The sequence below is a fragment of the Homo sapiens genome, chromosome 22 (genome assembly GCF_000001405.40).
Source record: "Homo sapiens chromosome 22, GRCh38.p14 Primary Assembly".
Lineage (NCBI taxonomy): Eukaryota > Metazoa > Chordata > Mammalia > Primates > Hominidae > Homo > Homo sapiens.
The window spans coordinates 23,241,598-23,262,737 of record NC_000022.11 but is presented as its reverse complement, the minus strand read 5'-3'; the positions used below and the strand labels follow the sequence as shown (position 1 = coordinate 23,262,737).

The following is a 21,140-nucleotide window of genomic DNA, read 5'->3' as shown; positions in this document are numbered from 1 at the left end:
TCTCCGCCCCCGCCCTCACCCGGGCCCGCCCTCACCCGGGCCCGCCATTCCCGGCGGCCCCACACCCAGCGGCCCTGGCTGCCCAAGAGCAGCTGCGGGGCAGCCCGACGCGGAGCCCAGCCCGAGCCACCACCCTCCACTAGGTTTAAAACTGCTGACACACACACGGAGAAACGGGGGTGGGGGGGCTTCAAAGATGGAGGGGGCAGCATGTATCAAAATACAGCCTCCTGCTCTCTGGCCATGGGGGAAAGAGCCCCAGGGAGCAAGAACTGGAACAAATTAAGTGCCTTCTGTGTTCCTCAAGCCTTAGCTCTGGCCTGGAGTCTGGGGGTCTGCAGCACAGGGTGGCAGAGGGAGGGGTCCCCCTACAGGAAAGCCACACCTCAGAGCAGAAAACTCAGCCCCCAGCACCAGCCAAGGGGAGGCCCGAGGCCAGAGCTGTGTGTCTCGGTAGTCCAGAAGTGCTGGGGGAAGGGCTTTTAAGGAATCACATGCTCTTCACACTTAGAGGGGGGCCTGGCCTCTGGCCACACCTGCCCCTAGAGGACTTGTTTCCCAGCGGAGGAAGCCTGCTTTAGGGAAAGTGTGTGCACACAGGGTGTGATGGTGCACACAGGGTGTGATGGCGCACACAGGGTGTGATGGCGTGCACCTGTAGTCCCAGCCACACACAGGGTGTGGTGGCGTGCACCTATAGCCCCAGCTACGCGGAAGGCTGAGGCCGGAGGATGGCTTCAGTCAGGAGTTCTGGGCTGTAGTGCACTACACACTAAGTTTGGCATCAATATGGTGACCTCCCAGGAGTCGGGAACCATCAGTTTGCCTAAGAAGGAGTGAAACAGCCAAGGTTGGAAAGGAAGGAGGTCAAAACTCCCGTGCTGATGAGCAGTGGAATTGCGCCTGTGAATAGCCACTGCACTCCAGCCTGGACAACGTAGTAAGTCCCCATCTCTTTTTAAAAATAACTATCTAAATAAATATAAATTAGAAAAAAAAAAAAAAAGGCTGGGCATGGCGGCTCACGCCTGTAATCTCAGTACTTTGGGAGGCTGAGGCAGGTGGATCACTTGAGGTTAGGAGTTTGAGACCAGCCTGGCCAACATAGCAAAACCCTGTCTCTACTAAAAATGCAAAAAATTAGCTGGACGTGGTGGTACACGCCTGTAGTCCCAGCACCGGCCCTGGGTTACTCACCAGCTTCTGGAAGAGGTCGCCCACCCGCTGCTGGTGGCTCCACTGCTGCACGCGGGGGAAGAGCCCATCATAGAACTCCTTGTGGATCTCGTAGAGCTCAGGCACTTTGAAGAAGATGGTCTCGATCTGCTGACTCGTCAGCACCGGCTGAGAGGTGGTGGCAGCGGCTTTCAAAGGCTTCATGGGCTGGAAGAGGGCACAAGTGAGGTAGCACAGGTGAGAGGGGCTGCCATCCGTCAGGTGCATTGTATGGCAGTAGACAGTCATGGTTACCTGACATATGCACTTTTATTTTTAAATCACATAACAAATACAATTTTAAAACCAGCTTGGTTTGGCAACTCAGTCTTCCACTGGTATCCACTCCAGGGATGGCGAGCTGCACCCAGGCTCTGACAGCTGACCTGGGACTTAAGGGCAAAGAGGCTCCCCAACCCTGTCACCCTGCCCCATCCCGCCCTGCTCAGCTCCCTAAATCCTCCTCACCAGCAGCAGTGCCTCCAGGTGGCTCAGGTAAGTCTCCTCGCTAGCCAGGATTCCCGACAGGACCCATTTTCTCATCTCCAAGCCCTTTTCCAAGTCCAGCTCACTCTGCAGGAGAAATAGACAGAAGTCAGCCTGGAAGGGTGGTAGGGGGATTCTTCCATCAGGGCCCTCTGAGAGAGGAGGGCCAGCTTGTTGACCTCTGGACAAACCCCTGCCCCCACAAAGGCTCCACATGGAATTAAAGGGAGGCAGGGGACCCTCCGCACATACTAAGCCACACACTCACAGTCACTGAGAATCCCGGGGAGGGGGGTCATCTGGCAACACCAGGGCCACCCTTACTCTTGCCAGACCACGAAACAGAGTTTGGTGCGGAGCAGGCTGGGCCAGGCCTCCCTCCACGCTTCTGCATGCAACCCAAGGGCAGCTGCCTGACACAGTCAGGGAAGGAGAAGGAGGCTCTGACCTGAGGGGGCGTCAGAGCCCACAGCATGGCCACCTGGCTTCTGCTGCAGCCAAACTCCACTCCCCACTGCTCACCTGGGGCCCGCCTCACCTGGATTCTCTGACTGCTGCCGCCACATGACCCTTCGATTGACGGGGCCCAGGCAGCACCGCCTTCTCCAGATGCCCTCCCTCCCAGCCACAGGGACTGCTACCATCTGCCCCAGAAGAACCCTGTCCCTGGGGCTCAAGGCCTGTGTCCCCTGACCCTGCTTTTTAGACCCTGACATCACTGGACTGGCAGGGACCCTCTTACATGTGGGCTATGACAAAGTCCCCCCTTCTCATTAGCGTCCCTGCTGAAAGTTCAGGGAAGCTCTACTGTTTTTGTCTCCAAATGATGAAGCTGACACATTGTTGGATGTTGATGTAGGGGACAGAGCCCATGCCCCTGGGAGGCCACCTTCTAGTCCTAGTTATGATAACATCTCCCCTCCCCACTCAAATTCACGTGGAAGCCCTAACCCCCAGTACCTTAGAACGTTACCGTATCTGAAGGCAGGGCCTTTAAGGTAAACTGAAGCCAAAAGGTTCCATATGTCACATTCTTTTTTGTTTTTTTTGAGACGATGTCTCACTCTGTCGCTCAGGCTGGAGCGCTGTGGCACAGTCACAGCTTACTGCAGCCTTGAGAGCCCAGGCTCAAGTCATCCTCCCATCTGAGCCTCCCAAGTAGCTGGGACCTCATGCACCCACCACCTCGCTCTGCTAACTTAAACATTTTTGGGGGGTCCAGGCTCAATGTCTCACGCCTGTAATCCCAGCAGTTTGGGAGGCCGAGGCGGGCAGATCACCTGAGGCCAGGAGTTCGAGATCACCAGCCTTGGCCAACATGGTGAAACCCCGTCTCTACTAAAAATACAAAAATTAGCCGGGTGTGGTGGCGGGCACCTATAATCCCCACTACTTGGGAGGCAGAGGCAGGAGAATTGCCTGAACACAGGAGGGGGAGGTTGCAGTGAGCCGAGACCATGCTGTGGCACTCCAGCCTGGGCAACAAGAGCGAAACTCCATCTCAAAAAAAAAAAAAAAATTTTTTTTTTGGTAATAGAAACAAGGTCTTGTCATGTTGCCCAGGCTGGTCTCAAACTCCTGAGCTCAAGCGGTCCTTCTACCTCAAACTCCCAGAGTGGTGGGATTACAGGCATGAGCCATGTTACCCCACCAGGACTGGGGTGCTTGTAAAAGAAGAGGTCAGGACACAGACTCAAATGGAGGGAACATTATGTGAAGACACATAGAGAAGACAAGCCCAGGAGAGGGGCCCGAGAAGAAACCAACCCTGCCCACCCCTTGATCTTGGATTTCAGGCCTCCAGGACTAGGAGAAAATAAACTCCTGTTCTTTAAGCCCCCCAGTCTGTGATGCTTTGTTACAACAGTCCCAGCAAAGGCATGACACCAAAGATGATGATGCCAAAGGCCACAGAAATCGCCACCTGACTTCCTGGCCACTCCCGCCTACTCCCTGGCCACTGGCAATGTTGGAGGCTGGCCATGCCCATGGCAGCACCTCAGTGCTCCACCGGGCTGAGGCCGTGCTCCCTTTGTTCCGCCTGTGCCCAATGGCCCTGCCTGCAGTCAGAGGAAAGTGTGTGGGTGCGGGGGGTGGGGGTGGTGCCAGGTCCGGTGTCTGTGACAGCCCCGTCCACTTCTCCACTGGTTGCTGGGCTCACAGGCGTGGAACTGGGGCGGTGGTCCCTGATCACTCACTTTCCCACTTTCGGGGAAAATCACTGGCTGCGGGCAGGCTTCTCGTTGGCCCCGCTGACATCTAGGCCCGGAGGAGTCTCTGTCAGGGGCTGGGTGGCATCCTGTGCCTTGCAGGATTCTGTGCAGCATCCTTGCCTCTACCTATCGTATGTGAGTAACACCCTCTCCCCCGAGGTGTGGCAGCCACAATGTCTCCAGGCGCTGCCACACATGCCCTGGGAGCAGAATCACCTCCAGTGAGAACTGATGGGTTTGAGGAAGGATCTGACTGAGGTCAGCTCAGGCCTCATGGTATCTGTAGAATTTGGAATCAGGGTCCCAGCACAGCCCCTGCCTACTCCCAACCCTGCTGTCCTATTTCCCTGGCCCTCTAGGAGGGAGGCATGTCATGGTATAGACAGCAGGTTCAACACGAAGTGCCCAGGGCCTGGCCTGCCCCATGGTCTCAGGCAAATGCCCTCCGGCCCTGAGCCTCCACTGCCCGGGGAGGGAGCCCCACCCTGTGCCCCATTTGAGTCCCTGGGGCTTGGACCACACATCCTCACTTGCCCACTGGGACCATCTAAAAAGCCTTCCTGGGCCACCTTTTTGCCCTGGGAATCTCCTAAGTGTGTGCACACTTGTGTGAATGTATGCATGAGGTGTCAGCATGCCCGGGTGCCTGTGTATATGTGTGTATATATATGCATTTATACACACGTACATGTGTGTGGGGGGGACAGCCATCAAGATCTGGGCTGAGAGCAGCTCCAAGGAAAAGGACACGCAGGTTCCATGCACACCTGTCCCCCCAGGGCAGGGTAGGCAGTGACTCCACGGGTGGGAGCCTCCAGGCCACGGCTGTGCCTGAGCTAGGAACTTCCCTGTCTAGCACAGTGCCCAGAACACCCAGGTGCTCAATTAAGATTCATTTAATAAATCAATGAGTGGATCTTAAACACCTGGTTGTATCCTAGTGTTGGCTGCGTTTTTATGAATCTCTGAGGGCTCCTTCAGGGTCTCCGTACTCTCACTTGGAGACAGTTGGGTCCAAGGAACCCAGGGCTGTCAGTTGAGCCTGCCTTGGTGCCCTGAAATGCTACCCAAGTTCAGCAAGTCTGCTGCCCATGGTGCACATACACGTAGGGTGGGGCGACCTATGACACCCCCTCTCTGCCCATCATGAATGGTGGAGTCTTTGGGGAAAGCACCCCAGCTGCCCCTGCAGGTGCCTCCTACTGTGTGCAGATGCCGCTCCCTGCTCCACAAGAGGAGAAGAGGTGAAGGGAATGGTGGGTCCCTTGGGCAGCGCCACCCATCCACCCAGCCTGCCAGCCGTGCTCATGTTCTAAGGACAATCTTGCTACTATGAGTACCAGGCGGCCTGTAGGGCCCAGGGAGGCTGCTAGGGCAGCAGGGCCCATGACAGCCCCACCCAGTGTGAGATGCTTGTGCCGGCGTGGGTGGGAGCACTGTGTCTCGTTCTGTCCACATGGTTTGGAAAGCCAGGAGGAAAAACAGCACAGGCAGGAAGGCAGAATCTGGCTCTCCCTCCGTGTTCTGAAGGGCGGGGCCGCTCAGGGAACATCTGGCTCAGGGCATGGACGGGGTGGGGTGGAGACAAGACTCAGGATGAGGCACTTCTCCTTAGACTAAGAATCTTCTAGAGTCCTGAATAGTGCTGATGGCATCAGACAGGGATGGCTCAGAAATCAGCCAAGTCCATGCAGAGAAAACGAGAGAGCAAAGGGCAGGGCCTGGCCTGGGGCTATTTATAACTCAGGGCTGTGCTTGTGCCAGTTATGGGAAAGGACGTGAATGCAGGGAGGGCCATGGAGGCAGGCAAGGAGGCTGGGGCGGGTAGGAAGCCGGAGGTAAAGGGAAATTGGAAAAAGAAGTCAGTGACATGGAAGGAAGGCCCTCCTACCATGACCCTACCTAGGTGGGTACAAACACAAAACTTGAGGCTAAATAAAAGCCAATAAAGAACCCACAAAACAAACTGGGCTTGTGACAACCAAGCAGGAAAAGCCAACAGAGAACAGGTGAATAAAACTGTTGTCAGCTGGCTACCAGGCCCACGGGTGAACTGAGGGCGGGAGCTGGAACTGAGCTTCAGGACAGGGCAGAGTGCAAAGAGGCCCCTTCTAGTCCCTCCTCCTAGTCCCCCTAATCTGGGGGAGCCCAGTGGTGATCAGGGTGCAAAACCCTTACTGCGAGGGGCAGGCTGCTCTGGGCTGGGAGTGTGTAGCTAGCACAGCTGCTGGAGAAAGGACCCTCTTGCTCTGGGCAAGGGCAGGTTTTCATTACCAACAGACTGGACATTGTCCTGCGGCCCAGCCGGCGAACACCCCAAGAACCTGGCCCTCAAGGCATACCAGAGGGCAAGGGGCTGGCCTCTGTACAGGGTCCTGGGGCTGCAGGTTGTCGCAACAGGCCAGCCTGTGTGAATCCTTCCCACAGCACCCCGGGCAAGGGGGTGCCTGGCCTCTGTCCAGCCTCTGTCTGCACTACGAGTGGGTATTCACAGAGAAGACCCATGCCACAGGAGTCCACTGACACCCCAAAGACTCAAGATCAGCATCTGGGACCAAATGAGGGGTGGGTGGCGTGCAGGAGGAGAGGGATGAGCAGCCTGATGCCCATTTCCCACTGGATGGTCAGGATCAGGGTGCCTCTGGCCTCAAGATCACCATGCTCCCTGGGGGAAGTCAGGTGTCCTAGGAAGCGACAGCCATGTCTTCAAACCAAAGATCAGAAATGAAAGATGACATTTGCATGGCTTGTTGCATGGCTGGCAGGGAAACCAGGAAGTCAAGGCTATGCTTGTCTCCAGAGCAGTGAAGGGTACCCGTCCTGGGGCCCCAACCACTGGGAAGAGCACCAGAAGGTTTCTGGAAAGGAGCTACACACAGTTCTCCTCCAATCAAATCCCCTCCTCTTCAGACCAGCTCTGGGCCAAGGGGCGTGCTTGGGATTGGAAACTCTGGACCTGACAGGCAGAGACGTGCAACCTCCTGCAGGATGTGCACCACGAGAAACATCTACAGCTCCTGTGAGGGCAGAAGCAGGGAGCAGGGGTCGGGGGACCAGGATCTGGAGTGGCTTCACAGAGGAGAAGCCCTGGACTGAAAGGTGAAGGCTGTACTCCAAGTCAGAGCCAGGTGTGGGTGGGAGGCCCCCACCCCCGGACAGGGACTGGGGCACTGAGTGGGCAGATCAGCTTCCTTTCGGGGCCAGGAACTGCATCAAGGACTGGCTGGGTGCAGATAGCCCTCAAGAATGATGGAAAGAAATTGCCTTTCTCAAGTTCAGCACTTAGCCTACCTGAACTTGGTCCTTCTTTGTACCAAACCACGCTCACAATGCAGCAAGAAAGGGGTGCACCAAGAAAGACAAGACAGTTGAGGGAGGGAAAGTGTGCCCATTGAAGAATCAGGAAGGCTTCAAACCCTGGAGCTGTGTGGCCCAAGCAAGTTACTTCACCTCTCTGAACCTCGGCCTCCTAGTCTGTAAAAAGCTGACACTCGACGTGGGATAGGAAGCTACCTAAGGCAGCAGCCTGTGTGTGCTGCACGGAGCAGGTACATGTTACCCACTGGCTTCCTCTCCCATCCTCTCGGTTCAGAATGAGAAGCCTGCCCAGCACCAAGGCCTTCAGAAATCACAAAAGTATATACGTAAGCAGCAGTCCCAGGCGTGCAGCTAACATGTCAGCCCCAGAAAAAAGCAGCTCAGTGAGAAGATACACTTCTGGAGCTTCCTTACAGAAATGGGGAAAAGTCCATCTCTCTCTTGCTCTTTTTATTTATTTTTTTATTATTATTTTTAAAGATAGGGTCTTGCTCTGTTGCCCAGGCTGGAGTGCAGTGGTGAGAATCACAGCTCACTGCAGTCTCGAGCTCCTGGACTCAAGCAATTCTCCCACCTCAGCCTCCTGAGTCGCTGGGATTATAGGTGTGAGCCACCATGCCAGGCTATGGTGGAAACCATCTAGAAATAAGCTAAGCAGAGTGCGGAAGTAATCTGTCATCAGGGACCAAAAAGACAAAAAGGAGCAACTGCCCTGGGGCAGTGATTTTCTCAGCCCAAGAAGTAAGGAACCCAAGAGGTCAAGTGGGGGGACATGCACCAATGGCAAGGGGTGAGCATCTGGGCCCCAGAGCATTGCTGAAGCAGCCCCCTGAGCTGTGGGACCAGCAAGAGGAATCAGAACTTCATGCAGGGCCGGGCGGTCCAGCACCATCCAGCCTGCAACCAGCCCGGGCTACGTTCTCATGTGAGGGGGGGCGTGGGTCCACTGCTTTCTTGGAGGGCATGGCAGAGCATCTACTGAATGTGCCGCTACTCACTAGCCATGAGACCTTGGGGAAGCCACCACTGGACTTCAGTTTCACCTTTGTAAAGTGGAAGTGACAGAAAGGCCAAGAATTATTAATGAGGGTCAAGTGAAAATTCACAGGAAAGGCTCTGGTCACATGGATGGAGCCATCCTCAGCACACGCTTTGGTAAAAGGGAGCAAGAAGGCTATGAAGCAAAGGGACCCAAGCCCAGACACCACCTGGCTCAGGAGTGTTGCCGGCGCCACCACGCAGGTCTTGGTGGTGGCCTCTGGTGCTGACATTCTCAGCCTCAAGACCACATGCTGCCTGCCTCCTCCACGCTCAGTTCAAAGCATCCCCCGATCTCCCTGATCAACACATCTGGCAGGCTGTCTGTGTACCACATGTAGAGATGAGGAAGGAGTTTTTGGTGACCCACTCGCTTCCAAACCATTGGCTGCTCCACCACCTACCTGCTACATACCCCTGAGCATGGGGCTGCGCTTCAGGGAGCCTCACCTGGCCCTCCTGCCACACGTACACCATGGGGACTCACCGCTTTAGTGGACTCCAGGGCTCCCGAGACCAGCGCATCCCGGCTGCCCCTGCCCTTGCTGCTGAGGTGGGGCGATGAGGAGGGCGAGTCATCAATGTAGGGCAGCCCATCTTGGTGCCGGCGCTGCTCCTCTGCCCGGTCTGCAGCGCAGCCGTATCCAGGTGGTGTTCCGAACGAGCCATCTGTGTGTGCAAAGAAGCATCCTGTGTTAGAGACAGAGAAGGGAGCATCCATACTCAACCCATCCCAGCAAGCACCCAGCTGACACCATCTCTGTCCCCAACAGGCATCTCACAACGACCTCGGGTATGCTGACGTCCCCTTCACAACTGACTGGTCAAAGACCACAAGGTGAGGGGGGATGAACATGAGCTCACTCCCTAGACAATACAAGGGGCTTTCTGAGATACGTCTGCCCCTGGCAGGGGGTTGTGACTTAAGAAATGTATATTTGATCTTTGCATATCCCACCCTCTACTTTCCTGGCATGCAGGTCCTAAAACCCTTGGAATCTCCAAAGTAATACATGTCTTTATGTGTGCTAGTAAATGACAGGTGGCTGGGGCTCCTGGATAGCCTCAGGAAGGGGGCTGGTTGCCGGGAGAACCAACCACACGATTAGAGAGTTGGCACCCCCAACTCTCTGGGGAAGACCCACAGTTGAAGGTTGAGTTGATCACCAATGGCCAGTGACGTAATCAATCATGCCTACACAATGAGGGCTGTCCAAAAGGCCAGGGTTAGGAGAGCTTCCAGGTTGCTGAAAATGTGGCAGTGCCCCGAGAGGGCATGGAAGCTCTGCACCCCTTCCCACAGACCTTCCTCTGTGCACCTCCTCCATATGGCTGTTCCTGAGTTGTATCTTTGTATTAAAAACCAGTCAGCTAGTAAGTTATTTTCCTGAGTTCTCTGAGCCGTTCCAGCAAGTGATCAAACTCAAGGAGGGGGCTGTAGGAACCTCCAATTTACGGCCAATAGATAACCTGGACTTGCTACTGACACCTGACGTTAGGGGCAGTCTTCTGGAGCTGAGCCCTTAACAGTGGGATCTGATGCTAACTCCAGGTAGACAATGTCAAAACTGAGTTGAAATTGTAGGACACCCAGCTGGTGTCTGCAGAGAACTGCTTGGTGTGGGAAAAACCCCTACATTTGGTCACATAAGTGTTCTGCGTTGAGCTTGTGTACAGAGAAAACAGTTGGTTCTCCCCCATACAGGGGGGTTGGGTTGCTATAGAAAGGGGGACCCTGGCTGGGCACAGTGGCTCATGCCTGTAATCCCAGCACTTTGGGAGGCCGAGGTGGGTGGATCACTTGAGGTCAGGAGTTCGAGACCAGCCTGGCCAATATGGTGAACCCCATCTCTACTAAAACTATAAAAAATTAGGTGGGCATGGTGGCAGGTGCCTGTAATCCCAGCTACTCAGGAGGCTGAGGCAGGAGAATCGCTTGAACCTGGGAGGTGGAGGTTGCAGTGAGCCAAGATTGCACCACTGCACTCCAGCCTAGGTGACAGAGCAAGACTCTGTCTCAAAAAAAAAAAAAAAAGAAAAGAAAAGAAAAAGAAAGGGAAACCCAAAATGTTACCGTTACCGTCTTGATGTCAGGAACGGTCCTTGCACCTTGCACACCTGCCCATGGGGTCTGATGGGGTGAGGAGCACAGGCCAGCATGCTGGCTGGGGTGCAAGTTCTGTCCACCATGAGCAGCGAGTCCTACCATGCTATTCCGATGCCAGCCCAGGGAACTGGGGCTACAGGTTCCCCCATCCCCCAGTCTGGCCCAGCTTCTGGCTGAGTCATAGACCACCTTCCAGCAGGTCTGTCGAAATCCCAGACCACCCTTACCCCAATGTGAGTACCCGCAGGAGGACAGAGTGGCTTATCCTACAAGAGGCCCCCTGCCTGTTGGGACTATCTGGTTATACAGAGTAATTCATTCCTCCCAGAGGCACCTGGAGATAATCACTCCCTTCCTCCCAGGCTGAATGACAAAGCTCAACACGTGTTTCCAAGGCCTTAGCCATCTGGAGCTCCTCCATGGCCTGTTCTCAGCCTGAGTTTTCTAAGCCAGTGGACTCATCATGACCACTGTCAACCCACAAGGATCTTCTGGCCCAATCCATGGCTCATGTGAGGATCCCTTCTCCACTCCTTCCAAAGGGGGACTTTGAGGCCCATGGGACTTCTGAGAGCTCACCCTGATGGGGTGACGTCACTCTCACCATGAGTCACCTGTAAGCAGCCCTGCCCAAAGGTTACCAGCAGAGGTGACCTTGGTGTTCATTCAGGAGTTTACAACTGCCACCACACACACCCAGGCTGGGTGGGCACAGGGCTGCCCTCAGGCACTCAGAGCAACTGACCCAGCAATCCTGAAGTGGAGACTGTTGTCAGTCCTTTCCACGTGGAAGGCCGGGGAGAGCCGTGTGTCTGGAGTGATCTGCCACTAGCTGTGGGTGCAGGTGGCCGAAGTTCCGGCTTCCTTGCACACCTCTGCCTCTCCCTCTCCCAGGTTCTCCACTTCTCGTCCCACAGGACTCAGCACCCTCTAACAGGTGTCCTCAGCCCTGGCTGCACGTCGGCAACACCTGGGAGGCTTTGAAAACGATTTCACCGGGATCCACACAGACCTGCTGAATCCGAAGCTATAGGGGCTTCCTGGGGGAATCTAGCTGGCAGCCAGGGCTTAGACCTGCTGAGCGACCCCAACCCGGTGTCTAGCATTGCCGGCTGCTGACCTGCAGCACTGTCCCAGGTGATTGCACACAACTACTGGCTGCAAAGTCCGGGCCGGGTTCTGTCTCTGTGCGTGTTGAAAGGAGAATTCCAGGAAGAGGCTGGGTCTGGGTTGAGCATAGCAGCCAAAGTAGGAAGACCCCAAGAGCAAGGGGCACCCACCAAGTCCCTCAACAAGCTGTATGGAGGAATCTGGTCTCCTTAATCCATGGGACATCGAGGGGGCTCCAGGTACCAAGATCGCTATGTTGGTTATTAACGCTCAGTTCCTTTGGCCTTTGGGTGGGGGAAGTGAGCTGTGGTGTAATCCCTCAGAAGCGAGGCTCTGGCCCTCCCCATTGCTACCTCTCTGTGAGTTAGTCCAGGTCACTGAGGCCGCCCATGCCTCACCTTTCTTGACTTCATTTATTAATTTTAACAGAGACGTTGACTCGCTAAGGTGCCTAGGCTAGTCTCCAACTCCTGGGCTCAAGCAATCCTCCTGCCTCAGCTTCCTTTTTTAAAATCATGCATGTGAACTAGACAATGGATAAAGACCCTCTAGCTCTAAAATGCTACTGTCACTATTAGATGAAGGCCGTGCCATCCCCTTGGCCTCCTTTAACAACTTCCTCACCCTAGTCTCCCACCCCATGACCCTCCAGACTTGGCTTTTACATTAGCTTGGAATTGTCAGCGTCTACTAAATGTTCTAGCAGAGGTGTCCAAGTGCCCAAGGGAGAGAATACACTCATGGGTTCTTAGTTTTGTTTTTGGTCGGGCCAGCAAAGCCCCTTCCTCATCCCTCTTTTCCACTTATCACTAGAGAAAGAGACTAAAACCACAGCTTCAGGCTGCGAAACGTCTAAAACAAAACAAACAACAACAAAATAAGGTGGGTTAGACCAGCTTTTAACCAACGGTTTTGCTGTTTATCTGAAGACGATCTTAAGACATCAACACATTCTTCATCACTGGGTGGAGCACCTTTTATCTGAGTGCTTTCCGAGCCCATGACTACACTGACTCCCGTGTAAGGTCAAGTCAACACCGAGTAGGGAGTCAGCCCAGCAAGAACTTCGGGGTCAGATTCGGGGTCCCAGGGCTTGCTTCAGAGTAACTGTAAGACTCCACATGTGCGAAGCCACATGCTGGCTTAGCAACGTCCACGCTAAAACCTGGTGCAAGAATCAAGTGCCCGGTGAGGGTTTGCCTGCCTGTGTCCAGTGAGACTTTGAAGTGGACACATCACCCCGCCAGGTGAGACAGAGAGACTAGGTCTCACGGCCAGACTCTGCTGGGGAATTAGGACACTCCAAGTGGCTGAAACCCCAGCCGTTTCCCCCTCTGCAGAGATCTCAAATCAATGTCTGGGTGACTGATGCTTTTAAGTCTGGATTCCAGATGGCCTGCTCATCCCTGCCACGTTCCATATGAGGGCTTCAGCCCCTGCCTCAGCTCACCCAGATCACTCCAATCCATACTTGTTGCCCCTCATTCTGCTGACTCTTCCAGTCTGCTCCAAGGCAAATGATGGTGTGGGGAGGACTGCCCCTCAATTTCCTCATCCCCCCATTCTAACCAGCACACAGGAACCTGCTTTTTCAAAACGCAGTTTTTCACACCTGAGCTCCCCTAAGTACACAAAGCACCACCCCCCACCCGTGATTTTATTTTCAGCGACATGATCTTTCTGTCACCCAGGCTGAAGTGCAGTGGAGTGATCACAGCTCACTGCAGCTGTGAACTCCTGGGCTCAAGGGATCCTTCTAAGTAGCTGGGACTACAGGTGCATGCCACTATGCCCAGCTAATTTTTTTTTTTTTTTTTTTGAGACAGAGTCTTGCTCTGTCGTCCAGGCTGGAGTGCAGTGGCGCGATTTCGGCTCACTGTAAGCTCCACCTTCCGGGTTCACGCCATTCTCCTGCCTCAGCCTCCGGAGTAGCTGGGACTACAGGCGTGCGCCACCACGCCTGGCTAATTTTTTTTTGTATTTTTAGTAGAGACGGAGTTTCACCATGTTAGCCAGGATGGTCTCCATCTCCTGACCTTGTGATCCACCCACCTTGGCCTCCCAAAGTGCTGGGATTACAGGCGTGAGCCACCGTGCCTGGCCTGCCCAGCTAATTTTTAAAAACATTTTTTGAGAAAAAGTCTTGCTATGTTGTCCAGGCTGATCTTAAACTCTGGCCTCAAGCAACCCTCCTGCCTCGGCCTCCCAAAGTGCTGGGATTATAGGCTTGAGCCACCATGCCCAGCCAAGGCCCTTTCCTCTTGAGGATAAAGTACATTATTTGGCATTTTGAAAGCCACCATCTCCCAAGAGCCAGAACCAATTGGGAGGCCTGGCTCCTGCCCCCGTACCAGGAATACCCAGTGGAAAAACCTCTCTGGGCCGCCTCACCCTTGGCAGGACTGAGGTTGATGGTCTCATCAGCCACATCCTTCCTGCAAAGCTTTATCCAAGGCAGAACCCAAACACTAGAAGGTAGAAGGTGGGGGCATGGAATCTGGCTGCTGCTCACCTGAACCAGGAACCAGACTAGGAGTGGGGCTGGGGAGAGGAAGTCCAGTGCAGACAGCCCAGGGTTGGTGTGGAAGAGGGAGGGCCTAGTGAAATCTGAAACCCTCTTCTCTCCAGGCAGTTTGCTTAGCAACCCAACCCCAGAACTCTGCAAATCTATTCTTTCATAAAAGGAAAAAGGGCAGCCAAAAAATAAAAATAATATAGCGAAAAGAATAATGCCTGGTTAGGTCCCAGTCAGCCCAGGCCCAGGTAGGTGCTGCGGTCACATCCCCTAGACTACACTGGTTCAAAAAAAAAAATCTTTCAAAAAATTAAACAGAATTACCACATGATCCAGCAATTCTACTCCTAGTTATGTACCCAAAATAACTGATTTTTTTTTTTTTTTGAGATGGAGTCTCACTCTGTTGCCCGGACACTGCTGGAGTATAATGGCGCGATCTTGGCTCACTGCAACCTCCACCTCCTGGGTTCAAGTGATTCTCCTGCCTTGGCCTCCCAAGTAGCTGTGATTACAAGCGTGCGCCACCACACCCAGCTAATTTTCGTATTTTAAGTATAGATGGGGTTTCACCATGTTGCCCAGGCTGGTCTGGAACTCCTGACCTCAAGTAATCCACCAGCCTCAGTCTCCCAAAGTGCTGGGATTACAAGCGTGAGCCACTGCGCCCAGCCTCTAAAAGAACTGAAAGCAGGAACTTGAAGACATATTTGCACACCCATATTCATCACAACATGGGAAGGAAGAGGTGGAAAGAACCCAATGTCCACTGACAGAAGAAGGGAGAAGCACAATGTAATGTATACACGCAATGGAACATCATTCAGCCTTAAAAAGGAAGGACATTTTGACACATGCAATCTCATGGATGAACCTTGATGTTCTGCTTAGTGGAATAAGCCAGACACAAAAGGACAAATATTGTTATGATTCCACTCATATGAGGTACCTACAGTAGTCAGATTCATAGAGACAGAAGGTGGAACGGTGGGCTCCCAGGAAATGCATGCAGAACTGAGCTCAGACCATCGGCCATGTGATGCCTGGGTACAGCCAGGCAGGAGAGGCTCTCCCAGGCCAGATATGCCTAGAGAGACCCCAGATCCTCCATCCGTGGTGTGGCTGCCAGAGGTGTGGGGTTCCAGGAACCCAGCCCCTGACCCAACCTCTGCCAATGTGCCCCAGGGTGAGATGGGAGCAAGCCCTCAGGGGATCAGAGGTCATGCTCTGGGCCCTCCCTACCCAGAACAATGAGAGCGGCTGTAAAGGGCCCTCCGATCAACATGTACTGGAGTCAAGAGAAGAAAGGGGCACTGGGAGGAATTTGGGTGGAGGAGGCAGGAACTCCAGGGAGCACAGAGATCATCAGCAGAGTGGTCTCCATCCTTGTTTACACTGGCAGCCAAAGACTAGGCAGTATTTATTTACAAAGGTAAAAGGAGATCAAACATCCGGTGGCTCGGCCAGCTGTGGTGGAGGTTTTCACAGAGGCGGACATCAAACCCCCACCCTGTCATGGCTGCAGCTGTCCTCCTTCCCGGCTCCTGCCCTCCTCTTGGCCTCCCATCTTCTCCCAGGTCCTAGGCAGGCCATGGCAGCATGGTGCCAGCGACTTCTACAAACAGCAGCACACGTCTTTTGGAGGGATTGTCAGGCAGGCACTGTCCTCCAGAGAGGCTTGGAAAACCATGGCTGGGACAGAGGTTCGGGTCTCATGAAGGGTGCAGAGTCCACAGTCGGAGCTGGCTCTGCACCCCACGCTCATCCATAGCCTGGCACCTTCTTACCACCATGCACCCACCAAGAGCAGACTCTACCCTCGAGAAGGGCTGTGGATCTTGGGGGCTCCGAAGCTGGCTATCGTAGCAGAACCTCAGGTAAGGTCAGGGAATACCCGTAGTGCTTCAGGGAGGTAAGTTCCTCTGACAGCAAAAAAGACCCAAATCTTTGAAGTAGTGGGCAAAAAAAACCCACCACCCTTTACGGGGTACTTCCTCCAGGTCACATATGGTGCTGAAAACCCACGTATCATCTCTTGGAATACGCACCTGAGTGGGCATGAACTTTTAGATTGCTATTTTTCAGACAGGAAAAACTGAGTCTCAGGCAGAGCTTGACTGTGCCCAGCTGCACCTGTGTGACCTGCCTGCTGGGTCAACTTTCATTCCAAAGAGAAGGCATTTCTAAGATGTGGCATTGATAACCTTACGACTTAGCAACTCCCCTCCTAGGTGTATAATCAAAACAATTGAAAACTAGTGTTCAAACAAAAACTTGTACCAGAATGTTCACAGAAGCATTATTCACAAGAGGTAGAAACAATCCAAATGTCCATCAGATTCAATGGAATAGCATTGCTCACCATAGTCTCGAACTCCTGGGCTCACGTGATCTCCTGCCTGAGCCCCCTAAGTAACTGGCATTACAGGTGTGTGCCATTATGTCCAGCTAAAATAATTTTTTTTTTCTTTTTGTAGAGACAGGGGTCTCGCTATGTTGCCTAGGCTGGTCTTGAACTCCTGGCTTCAAGTGGTCCTCTCGCCTAGGCCTCCCAAAGTGCTGGGATTGCAGGTGTGAGCCACTACACCCGGCCTCTGCCTTCAAAGGGAAGGAAATTCTGTCACATGCTACAACACGGATGAACCTTGAAAACATGATGCTACGGGAAATATGCCAGTCACAAAGTGCCACATGTTGTATGACTCCATTGATATTAAATCCCCACAATACGTAAACCCATAAAGACAGAAAGGAGGTCGGTGACTGCTTAATGGGCAGGGGTTTCCTTCTGGGGTGACGAAAATGTTTCGGAACTAAACGGAGATGGTGGTTGCACAACACTGTGAAGGCACTAAAAGCCACGGAATTGTTCACTTTAAAATGATTCATTTTATGTTATGTGAATTTTACCTCAATTTTTTTTTTTTTTTAAGGCTGACCTGTTTTCCTCTCCTAAGCAGGGAACCCGGAACATAATTCCACTGTTTCCCGAGGGCTGAGAGTATCCTTCCGGATGGACATCAGTACCGCCTGGCCATAACCTCAGGCCACCCACATGCAGTGAGTGCTTTCGGAGATGTGTGGTTGGTTCTGGTGGTTTCTCTACTTTCTCCTCCTCTGCCAGGCTGGCAGCTGCCCCTTCTTGCATCCACGCCAAGTGCCTCAAAATTCTTTATAAATGAGACGTGCCCCATCCAGTTAGCCACCGCACCCTGGCTAAAGGCCTGCCACCAGGGTCCTTGGTTCTGTGGTGGAAGGGTACACAGAGAGCACCCCAGGATCCTGTGGCCTCCCAGCCCTCATGCCGTACCCCAACAATGACATCACCAGGCCAGCACCCAAGAATGGAAAGCCGCAGCTGCCCGGGTAGAGAGAGGTCAGGGTCATGAATCAGCGTATGCCACAGAGAAAGCCACCAGGCTAGCCAAGGCCCCCCATAGGCTGGAAAATGTCAGTCGGGAAGGGCCTGAGCCTGTCCTGCTCCCTGATGCCTTGACTCCCCAGGCAACCCTAGACACCGCAGATGAGAAACAGGTATTTACAACTCTGAGCTTTCTTGGAGGAGAAAGTCCAACCCACACGACCAGCCCTGACAGCTCTGCCTGCTTGAAGGTTGAGCTGGTTGGAGACTGAATCACCAGAAGGTCAACTTTGCTGGCGATTTTCTGGGGGCACTAGTCAGCCGTTTTCCTCCACAAGCCGAGTGTGCCTCAGTGTGGGCAGAGGAGAACCCCCTCTCTTCTCCATCAGGATCCAGAACACTGTTAAAGGACCATCCCCTGTCTCCAAGGACCCACCTGTGCCTAAGGCTCCCAGTCATTCCCGGAGGCAATAATAATTTGATGCTCTAGGCTTCAGGTTGGGGGCCGGCTGGTGCGGGGGCAGGGCAGAGGCTGAAACCCCAGCTGGGAAGAGGCAGCAGCCCTCCGCCCCAGGATGATACAGTTATTATTCCTCAGCAGCACCTGGGCTTTTTAGGACTCTGGGGCTCAGAAAGACTTCCTGGAGACCCTGAAGGTTTAGCCCCAGACAAATGTACTTACTGAGTATCTAATACGTGCAGGACACTGTGCTGGGTATGGAATGGTGAGCACCGCACACCCAGCCCCTGCCCATGGGAGCCAGCGGAATCCATGGAGTCACGTGACGTGGGCATCACAGCAACCATGACAAGGCCACGGGAGAGAGGCAGGTGGCACCGGAGCACATGCAGGAGGGAGGAAGACAGACCCAGGAAGGACAGCAGGGCCTCTCCCTGAGGAAATGACCACGGAGCCAGGACCTAACGGAGGAGAGGGAGGCAGACACTGGCTCCCCTGAGGACACCAAGGTGAGAAGCCCACTGTAGTGGGCCCCCAAAGGAACACGTTCATATCCTAACCCTAGAATCTGCGAATGCGACCTTACCTGGAAAGAGTCTTTTTGCAGATGTAATGAAGTTAAAGGCTTTGAGATGAGATCACCCTAGATTGTCCAATTACTACTACTATGATGTGTTTCTATTCCCCCAGAACTCTCCTGACAACACACGTGTGGGTTTTCTCCTTTCACCAGGCAATCCTCCCAGTCTCTGGACACCAGCCGGGTGTCCTATAATTTAATTCCATTCTGCCAGTAAGTATGTGGAATAAGTGTCAGACTTCACAGGTTAAGGGCTCAGTACCACAAGACTGTTCCCACTTAAGGCACTGGGGGAAGTCTGGGCCACCTGTACTTCTGACCTACTGACTCTAAAGCTGGGAGTGGAGATGGGGTGTTCCCACAACCCCCTCCTCAGGTTCAATAATTTGCTAGAGCCGGGCACGGTGGCTCATGCCTGTAATCCCAGCAACTTTGGGAGGCTGAGGCAGGCGGATCACAAGGTCAGGAGTTCAAGACCAGTCTGGCCAATATGATGAAATCGCGTCTCTACTAAAAACACAAAAATTAGCTGGGCGTGGTGGCAGGCGCCTATAGTCCCAGCTACTCGGGAGGCTAAGGCAAGAGAATCATTTGAACCCGGGAGGTTGCAGTGAGCCGAGATCTCGCCACTGCACTCCAGCCTGGGCAACAGAGCGAGGCTCCATCTTAAAAAAAAAAAAAAAAAATTGCTAGAACAGCTCACAGAATTCGGGAAAACCTTTTACTCACATTTACCAGTTTATTGTAAAGGATACCACTCACGAAAGCCAAACGGAAGAGGGCTGGGTAACAGGGTGTGTATTGTGGGGGAGCTTCCATGGCCTCTTGGGGCACTGCCCTCCCAGCACCTTCATGTGTTCACCAACGTGAAAGCTCTCTGAACCTCACTGTGTAGTGTTTTCATGGAGGTTCCACTAGGTAGGCAAGACTAAATCATTGGCCACTGATGATCAGTTCAGCCGAGATCAGGCTGGCATGGCTGTAGACACGGGTGATCAATTCAATCTCCACCCCTCTCCCCATCCCCAGAGTTCAGGGGTGGAGCTAAAGTTCCAACCCTCTAATCACGTGGCTGGTTCCTCTGGCAACCAGCCCCGTCCCACAGCTATCTAGGGGCCCCTCAAGCATCACCTCATTAGCATAACCTCAGGTCCCACAGAAAAGGGCTTGTATGAATAACAAAAGATGCTCCTATCACCCCATCGTTCAGGAAATTACAATGATTTTAGGAGCTTGTGCCAGAAACCAGAAGGAAGACCACATACAGGTTTCTTATATCACAATATCACACTGATGGACCCTAAATCCAATGACAAATATCTTTAAAGAGACAGAAGACACAGGCATACAGGAGGCCATTTGAAGGCGGAGGCAGGGACTGGAGAGATGTTGTCACCAGGTCGAGGAATGCCGTGGGCCATCAGATGCTGGGAACAGAAAGGAAGGATCCTCCCCTAGAGCCTCCAGAGACAGCCTGGCCCTGCGGACACCTTGATGTGGGACTTCAGTCTTCAGAACTGGGAGAGAATAAATGTTTGTTGTTGTAAGCCACTAAGCTTGTGGCATTCTGTTAAGGAAGCCACAGGACACTAAGACATGGCCTGAACTCGGTGCCATGGAGTCTGAGGACAGAGATAACCCAGCCCCCAGGAGAGGGCTGGAAGGGCTTTGGAGGGGCAGAGTCTGTGAGAGAGAAGAATGCGACCAACAGAGCCTTCAACCAGCAGGGGCAGGGAGCTGCAAAGACGCCCCATGGAGGGATTCAGGCTGACTCAGCTGCCGGCTTTCCTGGGGCTTACAAATGCAGAAAGGCTGGGAAAGAGTGAAGGACGTGCCATCCCAAAATACACCGGATGGCTACACTGACTTCGAGCTGCAGCTTCAGAAAGGGCTAGCTGACCTGTTTCTTGCTATACTCAGCAAGCCATAAAGATTCCTCTGGGAGGGGTGTCTTCCTTGAACCAGGGGAGAAAATAGCCCTTATCACCTGAGATGGAATCGGGGGCTGCAGTGGGCCTGAATAAATATGCTTTAACAAAGTAACCCTTATCTTCCACCAGGTTTACACCCCTCATATATCTCCCAGTGACTGCTCAAGAATTTACTGCCCCTAGCCAGATCCCCCTTGTCCTGCCACTTCTCAAACTTATTGTTCTTTATCGAAAAAGGATAAAGCATCTTGCTTCGGCCACTTGTCTGGACTTGACTCTGGTGAAGTTTCCCATGCACCTGTAAAACTAATGACATTTGTGTGCTTTTCTCTTGTTAATGTACCTGGTGTCAGTTTGGTTTCTAGATCCAGCCAGAGGCCACTAAGAGCTAAGGGGGGCTGGAAGTGGTCTCTGGGAAAGGGGGTACAGCTGGGAAAGGGGATACAGGCTGGCAGTGAGAGGAGAGAGAGGAAGAGGGTGATTTTGTGGGGAGCCTCAGGCTTCAGGCCAAGGACTTGGGCTCCATTTAGGAGATGTCTGGGTCTGGAACAAGAGGGGAGCCTAGAGGCTGCAGGGAGACAGGTGACGTTCTGGCAGCACATCTGAGTGTGGCACTGGAGGTGGGGCAGGGCTGGGGGCTTCTGCGATGGTCACTCCAGGTAGGCCTGGTGTTGGTAGAAAAACGCAGGCAGGGGCACTGACGCACAGTGAGCCTGGGTCTGGCTAAGAGGACAAAGGCAAAAGGAGGAAGAGCAGAGGGGATGCTGAGCTTCTAGTCCCTGAGGTATAGACCTGGCAGCAGGGAA

General features: G+C 53.5%; 1 protein-coding gene and 1 pseudogene across 2 annotated transcripts in view, besides 8 other annotated features; one reads left to right on the top strand and one right to left on the bottom strand.

Moving 5' to 3' along the window:
- The window catches only part of BCR (BCR activator of RhoGEF and GTPase), a 137,529-nt gene that overhangs the window by 55,300 nt on the left and 61,089 nt on the right, over positions 1–21,140 (bottom strand). For both annotated transcript variants that reach the window (NM_004327.4, NM_021574.3), the window contains exons 2-4: positions 8,758–8,939; positions 1,684–1,788; positions 1,198–1,383 (exon numbers count right to left, since the gene is read on the bottom strand). In NM_004327.4, coding sequence (NP_004318.3) covers positions 1,198–1,383; positions 1,684–1,788; positions 8,758–8,939 — 473 coding nt within the window. The remainder of the gene's footprint in view (positions 1–1,197; positions 1,384–1,683; positions 1,789–8,757; positions 8,940–21,140) is intronic.
- On the top strand, positions 677–956 carry RN7SL263P (RNA, 7SL, cytoplasmic 263, pseudogene; annotated as a pseudogene).
- Positions 4,841–5,497: an enhancer, noted in NCBI's record as "H3K4me1 hESC enhancer chr22:23599428-23600084 (GRCh37/hg19 assembly coordinates)". NCBI's record gives its function as "activates a minimal SCP1, AML or CMV promoter by ChIP-STARR-seq in primed H9 embryonic stem cells {active_cell/tissue: H9 hESC(primed)}" and the evidence as "EXISTENCE:reporter gene assay evidence [ECO:0000049][PMID:30033119]".
- Positions 9,548–21,140: part of a mitotic recombination region, noted in NCBI's record as "BCR-ABL minor-breakpoint cluster region recombines with the ABL minor-breakpoint recombination sub-region within the ABL breakpoint recombination region, producing the e1a2 transcript", that runs on past the window's edge. NCBI's record gives the evidence for it as "EXISTENCE:nucleotide sequencing assay evidence [ECO:0000219][PMID:20703256]".
- Positions 13,111–13,636: an enhancer, noted in NCBI's record as "H3K27ac-H3K4me1 hESC enhancer chr22:23591289-23591814 (GRCh37/hg19 assembly coordinates)". NCBI's record gives its function as "activates a minimal SCP1, AML or CMV promoter by ChIP-STARR-seq in naive H9 embryonic stem cells {active_cell/tissue: H9 hESC(naive)}" and the evidence as "EXISTENCE:reporter gene assay evidence [ECO:0000049][PMID:30033119]".
- Positions 18,941–19,692: an enhancer, noted in NCBI's record as "OCT4-NANOG-H3K27ac-H3K4me1 hESC enhancer chr22:23585233-23585984 (GRCh37/hg19 assembly coordinates)". NCBI's record gives its function as "activates a minimal SCP1, AML or CMV promoter by ChIP-STARR-seq in primed H9 embryonic stem cells {active_cell/tissue: H9 hESC(primed)}" and the evidence as "EXISTENCE:reporter gene assay evidence [ECO:0000049][PMID:30033119]".
- Positions 19,146–19,375: an enhancer, noted in NCBI's record as "active region_18752". NCBI's record gives its function as "activates an Ori minimal core promoter by ATAC-STARR-seq in GM12878 lymphoblastoid cells {active_cell/tissue: GM12878}" and the evidence as "EXISTENCE:reporter gene assay evidence [ECO:0000049][PMID:35858748]".
- Positions 19,622–21,125: a meiotic recombination region, noted in NCBI's record as "meiotic double-strand break mapped by DNA meiotic recombinase 1 chromatin immunoprecipitation followed by single-stranded DNA enrichment and sequencing in the germ cells of some male individuals with the PRDM9 A/A and PRDM9 A/B genotypes". NCBI's record gives the evidence for it as "EXISTENCE:chromatin immunoprecipitation-seq evidence [ECO:0000229][PMID:25395542]".
- Positions 19,693–20,443: an enhancer, noted in NCBI's record as "OCT4-NANOG-H3K27ac-H3K4me1 hESC enhancer chr22:23584482-23585232 (GRCh37/hg19 assembly coordinates)". NCBI's record gives its function as "activates a minimal SCP1, AML or CMV promoter by ChIP-STARR-seq in primed H9 embryonic stem cells {active_cell/tissue: H9 hESC(primed)}" and the evidence as "EXISTENCE:reporter gene assay evidence [ECO:0000049][PMID:30033119]".
- Positions 19,898–21,140: part of a meiotic recombination region, noted in NCBI's record as "this region was identified as a recombination hotspot within the HapMap CEU and YRI populations", that runs on past the window's edge. NCBI's record gives the evidence for it as "EXISTENCE:nucleotide sequencing assay evidence [ECO:0000219][PMID:20981099]".